The sequence below is a fragment of the Homo sapiens genome, chromosome 1, assembly GCF_000001405.40.
Source record: "Homo sapiens chromosome 1, GRCh38.p14 Primary Assembly".
NCBI classification, from domain to species: Eukaryota; Metazoa; Chordata; class Mammalia; order Primates; family Hominidae; genus Homo; species Homo sapiens.
In genome coordinates, this window is record NC_000001.11 from 233,243,279 (window position 1) to 233,256,146 (window position 12,868).

The window sequence follows — 12,868 nt, forward strand, 5'->3', positions numbered from 1 at the left end:
AATAATAAGAATCAGCCGTTTAATGGCCCAGTTGGAGACAGTCCCAGCCACTGAAGTCACCTTATGGGGAAAAGGCTGCTTTTCCAATATATCTTCCATGGCTGAATGGCTTACAGCCCCAAGTAGGCATCCTTCCAAGTTCAAAATCAAAGTTTATGTTTGTTTACTGTAATAGAAAACTTAAAATCTAATTGCATTAAAAGCCAAGGACATAATATTAAAGGACCTACTCTAAAATTATCATACATGCCAAGATGTTGGAATACAACAGGTATTTAAGGGGAATGCCTTAAAATCACATAAATCAACTCATAAAAGCACTAGAGGAAAGGCTTCCATCTGGCCAAAAGTCTCTTTTGTTATATAAAATCAGATATTTTGTTATAAAAATCAAGAAACAAAAGTCAACATCTTTTGGTATATCAAGTCACAGTGCAGTTTACCTGAAGTCCTGCTTCTATCCAAAGACAGTAACAACAGCTAACACTGACTGAGGACCCTCTATGGCAGGCACTGTCCTAAGCACTGCATGTGTACTATCACCTTTATTTTTTATTTTTTATTTTTTTTTGAGACTGAGTCTTGCTCTGTTGCCCTGGCTGGAGTGCAGTGACGTGATCTCGGCTCACCACAACCTCCGCCTCCCAGGTTCAAGCTATTCTCCTGCCTCAGCCTCCCAAGCAGCTGGGACTACAGGCATGTGCCACCATGCCCAGCTAATTTTTTATTTTTAGTAGAGACGGGGTTTCACTATGTTGATCAGGCTGGTCTTGAACTCCTGACCTTGTGATCCGCCCGCCATGGCCTCCCAAAGTGCTGGGATTACAGGCATGAGCCACCACACCAGGCCCACATTTAATTTTTAAAGCAAACCAGTGAATTAATTACAGAAGTATTATCTGCATTTTTTGGTTAGAAAATGGATACTTAAGATGGTTAAGCAAGTTGCATAACGTCAAACAAAAAGTAAATATCAGTGCTGGAATTTGAACCCAGATAAGTCCGAGACAAAACTTGTGTTCACATAGCTAGATACTAAACCTCTGATTTCAAGGAAGTAAAATTCTCAGTGTCAGATTTTCCTCTGTTGTTAGCTTTCATACAGACAGGGAAAATTGTTTCCTTATGAACTAATAAAACACAGGGCTGGACTGGGTGCGGTGACTCATGCCTATAATCCCAGAACTTTGGGAAGGTGAGGAGGGCAAATCACTTTGAGGCCACGAGTTCGAGACCAGCCTAGCCAACATGACAAAACCCCGTCTCTAGCAAAAATACAAAAAATTAGCCAGGTGTGGTGGTGCATGCCTATAATCCCAGCTACTTGAGAGGATGAGGCAGGAGAATTGTTGAACCCAGGAGGCAGAAGTTGTGGTGAGCCGAGATCACATCAATGCACTCCAGCCTAGGCCACAGAGCAAGACCCTGTCTCAAAAAAATTAAAAATAAAAATAATAAAAACTCAGGACTGGAAAATTTAATTTGAGTCTCCACCTCTGATTTCTATGTAGATTGGTTTTAAAAGGCTCATTTTACATGTTTCATTTTGCTGTACCTTCCCACTTATAAAAGGAGAAGATCACATTCTGTGTTCAAATGCATTGATCTGGCAAACTGCTAGTGCTTCTGGCTCTCCCTCCAACCGTCCCACCAAAGATGAGGGATTTATTTGTTGAGGTCGTTTTGATAATCCCACATTCATCAGGGTTGTTTTGCTCTGCAAATAGATTCCCATCACTCCTGCTGCATAAAGAACAAACCACACTCCTCCACCGGGTTTCATGGGCCCCAGGGCCCTACTCCACCCCTCCTGTTTAGCTTCTCCTGCTGTCCCTCACCCCAGAACTCCAACTGGGCCATCTTTGTCATTTCCAATGATTCATTTGATTTAATCCCACATTTATTGAGCACCTACCTATAAAGGGCTAAGCAAAGGCTGGTTTTAGATGTATGCAATCTAGAAAAAGAGATGAGAACCCTCTACAAATAAATGAGATACCAGGGAGACTGTGATCAGCATCCTCCTGGCAGCAACTTGAAGAGATGAATTTCAGAGAGGACTGAGAAGGAAAAGAAGCATAACAGAGGCAGATTGTAACTTGAGCTTTCAAAGATGAGAGTTTCAAAAGGGAGCAATGAGTGGAGAACTTGGCAAGGTGGTTTGGAGGAGCCTGCAGGGAATCACCTAGGGGCATCTGGATGCCGCACATGTGTGCAAGAAGGGCTGAGGGAGGAGGGCAGAGGCTGCTTTCCCACTGGAGGGGGCAGGGCAGAGGCTGACCACAGGTAGCTCACAGGCCACAGCCAACCACGCACAACCTGTGGTCTGTGGTGTTGTTAAAAAAAATTTAAATCGGCTGGGCGTGGTGACTCACGCCTGCAATCCAGCACTTTGAGAGGCCAAGGCAGGCGGATCACGAGGTGAGGAGATTGAGACCATCCTGGCTAACATGTTGAATCCCCGTCTCTACTAAAAATACAAAAAAATTAGCCCGGCTGTGGTGGCGCGCGCCTGTAATCCCAGCTATTCAGGAGGCTGAGGCAGGAGAATCACTTGAACCCAGGAGGCAGAGGTTGCAGTGAGCCCAGATCGCGCCACTGCACTCCAGACTGGGTGACAGACGGAGACTCTATCTCAAAAAACAAAACAAACAAACAAACAAAAGAAACTTAAAATCAACAACATGAAACAAAATACACTTTTAGATACAAATATGCATTTCTAGCTCCCTGTGGAAAAAAACGGAAAATCCTATCACCTGGGACTTATGAGCCATCATAAGTAGACTAACATAGCAGCAGCCCTTCAGATAGGATAAATGTCCTTCAGATGGGATGAATGCCCTTCAGATGGGATGAATGCCCTTCAGATGGGATAAATGCCCTTCAGATGGGATAAATGCCCTTCAGATGGGATAAATGCCCTTCAGATGGGATGAATGCCCTTCAGATGGGATAAATGCCCTTCAGATGGGATAAATGCCCTTCAGATGGGATGAATGCCCTCTGATTTACTGCAGTCATCACCACTCCTCTCTACCATTCCACACTGGGCCAGCTTCACCTATTTATCACATCTGCCTGGGCTCTGAGGAACCCTGAGCTTGTGACGCCATGGTGGGGGATGGGAGCAGGGAGGGAGACTCACCTGTCCACTGGCCACTTAGTATCTACATGAAGCTGAGCACTTTTGGCAATCAGTCTTAGTTTCCTTATCTGTAAAACAGAGCTAGTGTCACCAGCCTTAGTTTTGTTGCACAGAAAAATTAGATAATTTAACATTTAGCTTAGTGTGTAAGTGTTTAACAAATGGTGGCTGTTACTACCCGAACTACTGAAGGAAAGTGCCTCGTTCAGGGCCACGAACTGCCATAATATTGCACATGGGAACACAGGGGTAAGGTACAAGCTACTTGGTCCTTCCATGGGGCAAAATCCTGACCTGCTGGCATTTCACTGGCTCTGCTCTGGTTCCATTCTTTACCTTTACCATTAGAGATACAGCGATGACACCCCCAGGTGCACATGAACTCACACGAGTGCACACATGCACTAGTATGTTAATTCAGAAATTCAAAAATCTAAATTGAGCCTGATAGCTGGTTCTTATTCTGCTTTCTGAGAATTTTCCTTTCAGATAGCCAACCCAAAGATTCCCAAATCATCATTACATCATGGGCTTCTGCAAAAGACAAAGCTTATTACAAATCCAAAGAACTTAGCCCCCCATGAATGGGTAGCACAGTTTTCCATGTGTCAGACTCTGGGGAGATGTTTGAGACAATCGGAATATCCACCCTAAGCCTGTCAGACAGCAGTTTAAATCCAGAAGATCGTCTGACGGACATAGGACTGACTCGTTTTTCCTGAGCACGAATTAAACAGATGGTAGTGCCTTAACTGCTTTTCCAGAGCTGCCTAGGGAACAGCTTCAATGCTGTAATTTTGCTAAGTGAAGGGACTGGAGTTTTGTGCTCATGCATCTGACAGGAAGCACTGTATATGTCCTGTGACCAAATGGGCTGCTGAATGCCACAACACCACATAACAAAGTCCCCTCTATTTTCTATCTTAAGGACTAACTATACATATGATAGCAAACCATGTGTATTATTTCACTTTATCTTTGAAGCACAAGAAAGAGAAGTTACACATGGCAATGTGTCTTTCTTTTCTAGAACTCTTCTTGTTTTTTGGTGTTTTTGCTATGTTTTGTTTTGTTTTTTGTAGAGATGGAGTCTTGCCATGTTGCCCAGGCTGGTCTCAAACCCCGAGACTCAAGTGATCTTCCCACCTCAGCCTTCAAAAGTGCTGAGATTGCCAGGTGTGGTGGCTCACGCCTGTAATCCCAACACTTTGGGAGGCCAAGGCTGGCGGATCACGAGGTCAGGAGTTTTGAGACCAGCCTGGCCAACATGGTGAAACCCTGTCTCTACTAAAAATACAAAAATTAGCCAGGCGTGGGGGCGGGCACCTGTAATCCCAGCTACTGGGAAGGTTGAGGCAGGAGAATCACTTGAACCTGGAAGGCAGAGGTTGCAGTGAGCCAAGATTGCATCACTGTACTCCAGCCTAGGTGAAAGAGCAAAACTCCGTCTCAAAAAAAAAAAAAAAAAAGTGCTGAGATTGCAGGTGTGAGCCACCATGCCCAGCCCTTTTCTAGAACTCTTAAGACCAACACCCTGTCAAATAATGCTGGAGAAAGAGCAGATAGTCAAAGACCCAGAAGTTGCTATCTGAGACTGGTGGACCAAGACCTTGCCCATTGGAGCATTCACACATGAGAAAAGCTAGGGGTGACTAGGGCCATTCAATAAAGATTTTCTTCAAGGGGAAAGTTGCTTGCAAAAAACTTGAACATTTTTCTCTTTACAGGAGCTCAGTAATTAATTCAGTTGCCTTTTCACCAGAAACAGAGTCCTCGGGGTCACCTGTTGATTTTTGCTGCCCGGCTTTTATCTACAGAACTCCAAACATCCCTCGGAGAGCCAGCCCCTTCCAGTCTCGGGGGAACCTCGAATCCAGCTGTGTGTGTGTACGTAAGCCCAGGCCAAGTGCTTGCCTGGTCTTAGTGATTGGGCTCAGGTAATATGGCTCAGTCAGAACCAATCAGACACAATGAGACCTTCCATGGGATCTATGAGAAAGAAGCATACTGTTCTTGCTGGACTTAGATGAGAGAAGACACGAGATCTAGGGTAACGACAGCCGTCTTTTGACCGCCGGGGTGAGGTGTTTGAGAACGGTGTCAAAACAGAGGAGCAGGAGAGCGATGGAAATGGCAAAACTAGGCCCCAATGACTCAATCTGAACCTCTTTATCTAGACACTCCTGAAGACAGATGGACCCAAGACTGTTCAGTTACATCACCGCAAAATCCCCACTTTGCTTAAACCTGTTTGAGATGGGTTTCCTTCCTCTGTAATAGAAAGGGGTCTGACTATTCTGTGGACTTGAAAAGGCACGTAAGAAAGGGCCTGGTATTCTGAGACTCTCCACCAAGCCACACGCCTCACAAGAAAGTTCAGCATCAACACATTCAGTTGCCTCTCAGTCCATCACCCGCGCAGCACCCCAACACAACCTCACCAAAAGCCGTTTCACCAAGGCTGAATGCACTGTGGCAAACCTATGTCCAGGCAGCTGTGGAAATGGAAGGCAGGTTAAATATAAAAGAGCTGTAATCTGGAAAGGAAATGCAGAGGAAATGAAAGAAAGCAGAAGCTGGAGGAAGTTTAATAGAGAGAAATTTACGGGGAGAAAGCAAGTTAACAGGTCATGCTAGAAGAGGCAGAGCCTAAGGAACTGAGGCTTAATGAAAACACTATAGGTCCTCTCTCTCATTTTTACTTGGATACTATAAATTTTCAGTTCTTTAAGGCTCTGCATATATGGCCTTATTCTAACTACCATTACTGACAAATGCAGTTCAAGTGTTTAACCTAGGGGAAAAATGACATATATTTATCCTGGGGGGAAAAAATTAAAAACAAAAATCTTGTAACTTTACTTTGGGATAAAAGAAGAATTTGTTCTAAATTCAGCTTAGAAAAACTTCAACTTTTAGCTGGGAATTGCAGAATAATATGACAGTTTTCAAAGCTGCGTTCTCATGCAATTACATATTTTGTCTGAGAAAGCTGCCATCTTAGATGACTAAACTCATCAAACCATCATAACGTCTAGAATGTCCTGGAGGTTAGAGTAAAGATGTGGACAGCAAACCTCCCTCTCCTCTTGGGTGTCCATTTGCATGGGGACTTTGCATGCCTGTTGGCTGGAGAAGAAGAAGTTTGTGATGTTTGGATTGGTCCATGGTACCTGAGGGAAAAGGAGGAAGAGTGGACGGCAAGTGGGGCATGAACAAGATTTCTGTTTCCCCACAGGAGTGACTTTGGGCACATGCAGTCTGCTTTAATGCAAAGCTTGGGAAGGACTGCATGGCGGGAGAGAGCCATCACCTACGGTTCCCATCAGACCTACCTGAATGGCACTAGCATTCCTAAGCAGGTAAGAAACAGTAGTGGCTTTAAAGAGAGAATGCCCTAAGAAGCTGGTACACGACAGCATTCCACCTGGAGGCCAGAATGCAAGGACAAAGACAGCCTTTACTCTAAGCACACAGGACCCCTCCCCCTGAATTTCCCATAAACCCTTGGGAACACTTTAAACTTGGAAAGACACATGGGGTCACAGACTCTGAAATTAAGGTTTAGATGTGAAGCACAAGACATTCCAGTTACACCGGGAAAGTCTCCCATAAATCCTCAAATATACATATAATTCTAAAGAAGCATACATGAACAATTTACTTCCACACTTAGAGCAACCAACTGAGACATGGCCATATGGATTATCCACAAAGAATCTTGAAGCCCAGGATGAAGGATGAATTCCGTCTGCCACTGACAAGACGTACAGTTTTCCCAACGCACTATTAATCATCGTATGTCCCAGATATGCAAACTAATTTAATATCAACTTCATCAACTAATTAATATCAGCATAATTAAGAAAGTTATTCAAAGCATTCTGAAGTAAAATAGAAAAGATGTGTATCTATCTGTAAAACAGTTTGCCTTTATTACTGTAAATGAGAATAAATGAGAACTAACCACATTTCTAGTCCACTCCTTGGGACAAATTTAATAATGTGTTTGAGAGCTGTATCACCATCTTTCTTGAAGAGAACATTATTATGTTTATACAGAGTTCCTGTCTATTTATACTACCTACATGTTATCTTCATTTTTGGAAGCAGCAACAATGAAAATGGTTTCATTTATTTTTCATTATTTCACAATGTCAGATTTCCTTTTTCTTTCATACAAAACCACATGCCTTAACAACTACAAAGGGATTAACACATTTCTTCTAAACCAGAATCCTCACTTTATCTTCATCGCTGTGTCTCCCAGCAATGCAACAGCTCTCAAGCCTGGAAACAAAGCTCCACTCACCGAGCCTGAGAGAGACAGTCATTATTTGATGGTAGAGGCTGTAAAGGGCCTTCTTTCTGATTTCCAGATTTTAAATAACAGGATCTAATTTCCCCTGTAAAATCAGAAAATTTCAGCAAAGAATATGACATAATTATTCATATAGAATCGTTTCAACTTATACAATTTTCAAGTTAAAAGGAAACTTATTTTGGTCTGTTATAATAACTGTTGACAATCGGGGTCCATTCTTTATATTTCTGCACAGAACATATATCATGAGAAGTTGAAGGATGTCTGAAAGAAACTTTACTAAGAAAATTTTCTTCGACCTGCTTCCCTGCTAATATACTTAGACAAGTTTTGACTTGGTTACTTATTATTTAATTGCTTTTGATAGACTTATTTGTATCATCTCTTAATTCACTTTACATACGTTCTCTTCATGTGTCAGCATGATCTGTGCTAGGATATAACCAGATTTTTTGGTATACGAATACCTCAGTATCATGTGCAAAAAGCAGCTTATTAAGAGTACAGTTTTGATTGGTGGACCGCATGAGACCATCTCTGCCTCCAACTGTGCAGATGAGCAAGTGTCACAGCACACTGACTGATGTGTCAGTCTGTTAATGAGGAAAAGCAAGAGATGGAATTAATTTGCAGAGCTCAATTAGCTCCACTAAAGCAGTTCAGGATACTGAGGTGTGAAAATCCGGTTTCTGCCCAGAAGAGCTCCTACTAGTGCCTTCTTCAGTTGACACAGGAAGCATAATTAACCTTGTCTGTTGTGAGCAGCTGGAAGGTGGCCCTCCAACTCAAAGGTGTTTTCCACCAAGAGAAACTGTAATGACAACCGCAGCCCCTGTGGAGGCTTTCATGTAAGTGCTAATGTTGTTCTTTATGATGTAAAAGTCCCTTATATTTCTGCACATGCAAAAGCATTTAAAACTATAAACTACTGAACTCCAGATAAAGTAACCATATAATTTATTCTCCAAACCAGGATCCTTTTGCGAGTAAAATAACGAGCACTACTGGAGCTATATGATACATAAGCCAAGACCCATCCCAGAAAAACTAGGACCTATATCCCTTATCCGTTGAACTTTGAACTTGCCACTTTATAATTCTCTATGTATACTATTTTAAATCCTTTTTATAACAAGGTGCTGAAAAAATATATCAAGGTCAGGTGTGCAACACAGGTCCAACAAATATTTAGTAAGTACTGGGCATTGCCCTCTTGAAGTTGATAACTGTGAGGGGGAAATGCCATTAATCAAATTATTATACAAGCTGTAATATTATCAAAGAACGAAAGAGATGAGTGTTAAGAGAACAACAAAAACTGATGAAACTGATTAAGTCTGGGGAGTTCAGGAGAGGTGTCCCTGAAAAACTTACCTTAGGACTAAGATCTGAAAAAATCAATAGCACACACTGGGGCACAGCACGTGTAAAGGCCCCGAGATGGGAGGCAGCACACTCCATTCAAAGAACAGTATGTGGGCAACCACAGGGTTAAGTCTTCCAGTTCTCAAGTCTAGTACTCATGCTAAGGTATCACACTGAGTCCTGAGAAAGCTGACAGTTTTCCCTGCTTGTTCATTAGTAAAGAGCTCCAAAGACTCACCATGTTCATCAATGAAGACATGCATAGCATCCACAGATATCTCTTCTTGTACAGATGTTTCAGGCCCACTGATGACTTGCAAGACAGAACTATCTTGTTGGGAAGTTACCCTGTAGATTATCTGTCTTTGTCTATTGCCCTGAAAACTTAACACATATAAAAGTTTCAAAAAAAATGATTAGAAGTTCCTCCTTATCCTTGATAAAGCATTAAAAGCAGAAGCCAGTAAATGAGGCTGTCTCATGCTTTATGACCAAGTGAAACTAAATTAAGTAACTTATCCTTACAAGGCTGTGGTCTTGGCAGGCTGAGTGCATGCGGGGCCGGTGCTAGTATGGTCTTGACTTTGCAAATCTGGTTTTCCTTGCTTAGAACTGTGTCCACTGGGCTTTTCATTTTCCAGGATTTCCTCCTTTTTTTCCTGGGAACAGTTATCTGAAAAACATTGCTTTACTTGTTAATTTAATATAAAATAAATCAATGTGAAAACTCTGGGAAATAAGTTACCAAAACTGAAACAAGAATAGAAAGAAAATCTAAGCAGCTCCTCTGCATGCAAAAGGCTTTTAAATAATTTTTCATTTTTTTAATTATGGAAGTACCTACATATATGTGAAAAACAGAAGTATGTATAAGTTTGAGACATGTTATTTAGGTGTCTACAAACACCTACTATTTTATATACAGGTTGAGGGACTCCCTTGAAATAACTCGGTGACCATACATGTGCCCAGCTGGAAATCACCCATTTAGGTTACATAGGTCTGAAAGGTTCATATCTCATAAATGAATAACTTCAGATTTTAAAAAATTACAAAAACAAATCTGGCTATTTCAGAACAAGGTCCCCTTTACCATTTATAAATCTTATCAGTCTTTCTTCTCACTCTCCAAAACTGAATTTTCAAGCTAAAGCTAGAATTGTCCCCTTCATAAAGCAAATACTTGTTAAGTATAGCTGGGGGCGGGGGTTGTTTTTGTTTGTTTGTTTGTTTGAGACAGGGTCTGGCCCTGTTGCCAAGGCTGGAGGCTGGAGGCTGGAGTGCAATGGTGGAGTCATAGCACGCTGCAGCTTCAACCTCTTGGGCACAAGTGACTCTCCTATCTCTGCCTCCCAAGCAGCTGGGATGACAGGCACATGCCACTACATCCAGCTAATTTTTTAAATTTTATGTAGGTATAGGGGCACGCTATGTTGTTCAGGCTGGTCTTGAACTCCTGTCCTCAAGTGATCCTCCCACCTCAGCCTCCTGAAGTACTGGGATTACAGGCATGAGCCACCACACCCGGCCTGCTGATTTTGAACAATATGCTTAGCACTGTGTAGGACACAGAGAGCTACAATACCTATTCCTTGCCCTGAGAACATTTTAAGATGAATGAGAATTCCAAGATCAATAGGTACTGATTGTTTTTATTTTTTGCATTTTTTGAATCCTCTTTAAACAACAAACCACTAAGGGTCTCAGGTTATACCATTATGCAAAATGGACTGCATATGTCCCTGAGGATCAGCCCTTCCTTTTCTGTGGACACATTCCAACAGTCACTTTTAAGATCAAAAGGACCATTGTACTCCCATGACTTACTCTGAGTAAATGATTGGCTCTTAAGCTCAACAGCCTGTGCCTGAGAGAACAGAATTGAGCCTGAACCTACAAGTTCTTTCAAGACACACCATTCGAAAAGTCTATCAAGATCTGCCTAAGCCCTCAGAAAGCAAAACTGTGTTAGTGTCTGTGGGATATAAATCACATCCTTGCATATATAACAAAGTTATTCATCCTTAAACTTCAAGTAATTAGAGGAGCAATGCTGGCTTCTCTGTGAGTCCTGAACATAAACATTTTCAGCACATCTGTGAAACTACCATAAGAATTTCCTTGGTATGAAAATGTTTGCATTTCATGTGACAGCCTGTCAAGATAGAAGTTTTCACAGTTTTCCAGAAACACATTTATAAGAAAGTGCTATCATAACAAATAGCTTTAGCCAGTAATCATGCCTCATAAAAAATCGCAGAAAGGCATATTGACACAGCTCTCCTGCTTTACACTAAGTGTCTTTGAATTCATTTGTTCACATCTCTTTATCATATCTTAGACTCCTTTTCTCTTAAATGGGTACATTACATAAGTCAACATATGGACGGTTTTTTTCCTTTTTTCCTTAAAAAATACATTTATAGAAATGTTTCTGTTTATAAAAATAGTACACAGTCATTGTATGTAATTTAAAACTATACAAAAGAAAAAACTTTGAATCACTCTTAATCCTGCCATCATGATATTACCACTGGAGCCAATTTGATATATATCACACCAGTCTCTTTTTCCTAGATATACGCACTTTTTTTTTTTTTTACAAAAATGAAGTCATAATGCAGGTATGGTTTTATACCTATATTTATCTTAAACTATTATAAATATTTAATGTTATTGGATATTCATCTACATCATCTAAAAATAGTAGTTATATAATATTACACTGATAATGGTATAATTTAAATAGACCCTGACTATAAATTTACATTGTTTCAATTTTCCATATTATAGACAATTTTTCAATAAGCATTTCTATATACATTCATGATTCTTTCCCTAGAAATTCTTAGAAGTTAGGAGACTGAATATACAAATGGACAATAGGCAGAAACTATTCATAAACGTAGAACTCTGACCAATAATCTGCAGCAACCAGGTGAGAAAATCAACCCATTATCCAGAGTAACCAGCCCAGGAAGCCAATATACTATGCACAAGTCAGGCTTGTAGGAAGTCAGACCACTATTTCTGGCAAACAATCCAGGAAGCCAAACAATAACCCCCATAATAATTAGCCCGAAATGGCCAGGACTTGATTCATAACTGATAGCTTCCCTAATGTCTGTCCCTGCTTCCAACTTAGGACCACCCAAAGAAAACCAAACCAAACCAAGCACATAGGATGACTCACTCCTAGTCCAGCCACCTCCAGCTTCCTAATGCCCATAACCTCCAATCAGGGCACATCCGAAGCCTTTCCTTTTTTTCCACTATAAAGCTTTCTCATTCAAGTTGCCTTTAAGTCTCTGCTGAACCCAAGCGATGACCGCTGACTCCCTTGCTATAAGCAAGCTCTGAATAAATAGACTTTGCTTGTTCTCATGTGGGCGGTCCTCATTTATTTCCACAAAGTAAAATAAAATTGTGTCAAACAAAAAAGCAAACAAACATGGTTTAAAGGCTTTTCAAAAGTGTGTGGTTTTCCATAGCCTTGAATTCTAGGATATTTCTGAGACCTGAGAATAATCCTAAGGCGCTTTGTGAAGAGAACCTGGGCTGGAAATAAGAGTACATTAGAGAGAACTGGAGAATTGTGTATCTTTTTCTAGTCAGGTCCAAGTTCAAGCACTGTCCTACTAATGAGCAGGAAAAAGATTAGAGAACATTTCCTAAGCTGCTAATATCATTAAACACCCAACATGTTGTTTTATAAACACACTCAAAAACTGGGTTTTCAGATTATAATAACAAATACTTTAGTGAAAGAAGAGTAAGGATATTACCAGTCTCAAAGATACATGGCATCACTGAAAAACCATCTAATTTGCCACCTTTGACGTTGATGGCCTTCTACGAGCTAAAAGATTCACTGTCTCTTTCTTCAATTAAAATCCTCTGTCCTTTCCTAAAAGAAGCATGTAATTTATTCCAACTCCTCCCTTCCTGCTGTACCTTCAAGTTCTTGATAACTAAGCCTATCTCTTCCCATAGAATACCTCATATCTCCCTGCACACAACCTCAATTTCCA

The 12,868-nt window shown here is 41.1% G+C and overlaps 1 protein-coding gene across 7 annotated transcripts in view, besides 1 other annotated feature; it reads right to left on the reverse strand.

Annotated features, from left to right (window-relative positions):
* Positions 1-12,868, reverse strand: part of PCNX2 (pecanex 2) — a 343,895-nt gene that overhangs the window by 259,844 nt on the left and 71,183 nt on the right. For 6 of the 7 annotated variants that reach the window (XR_001737430.2, XM_047430870.1, NM_014801.4 and 3 more), the window contains 3 exons: positions 9,363-9,510; positions 9,076-9,221; positions 7,461-7,554 (listed from right to left, as the gene is read on the reverse strand). Coding sequence is in view for 5 of the 7 variants with exons in the window: in XM_047430870.1 (XP_047286826.1) it covers positions 7,461-7,554; positions 9,076-9,221; positions 9,363-9,510 (388 nt within the window). In the remaining 2 variants the exon portion in view is untranslated. Of the gene's footprint in view, positions 1-3,148; positions 3,217-7,460; positions 7,555-9,075; positions 9,222-9,362; positions 9,511-12,868 lie in introns of those variants that run through there. The other variant, XM_011544278.3, reaches the window with a different exon arrangement.
* Positions 8,851-9,051: a silencer, noted in NCBI's record as "peak771 fragment used in MPRA reporter construct". NCBI's record gives its function as "represses an SCP1 promoter by STARR-seq MPRAs in K562 erythroleukemia cells {active_cell/tissue: K562}" and the evidence as "EXISTENCE:reporter gene assay evidence [ECO:0000049][PMID:32103011]".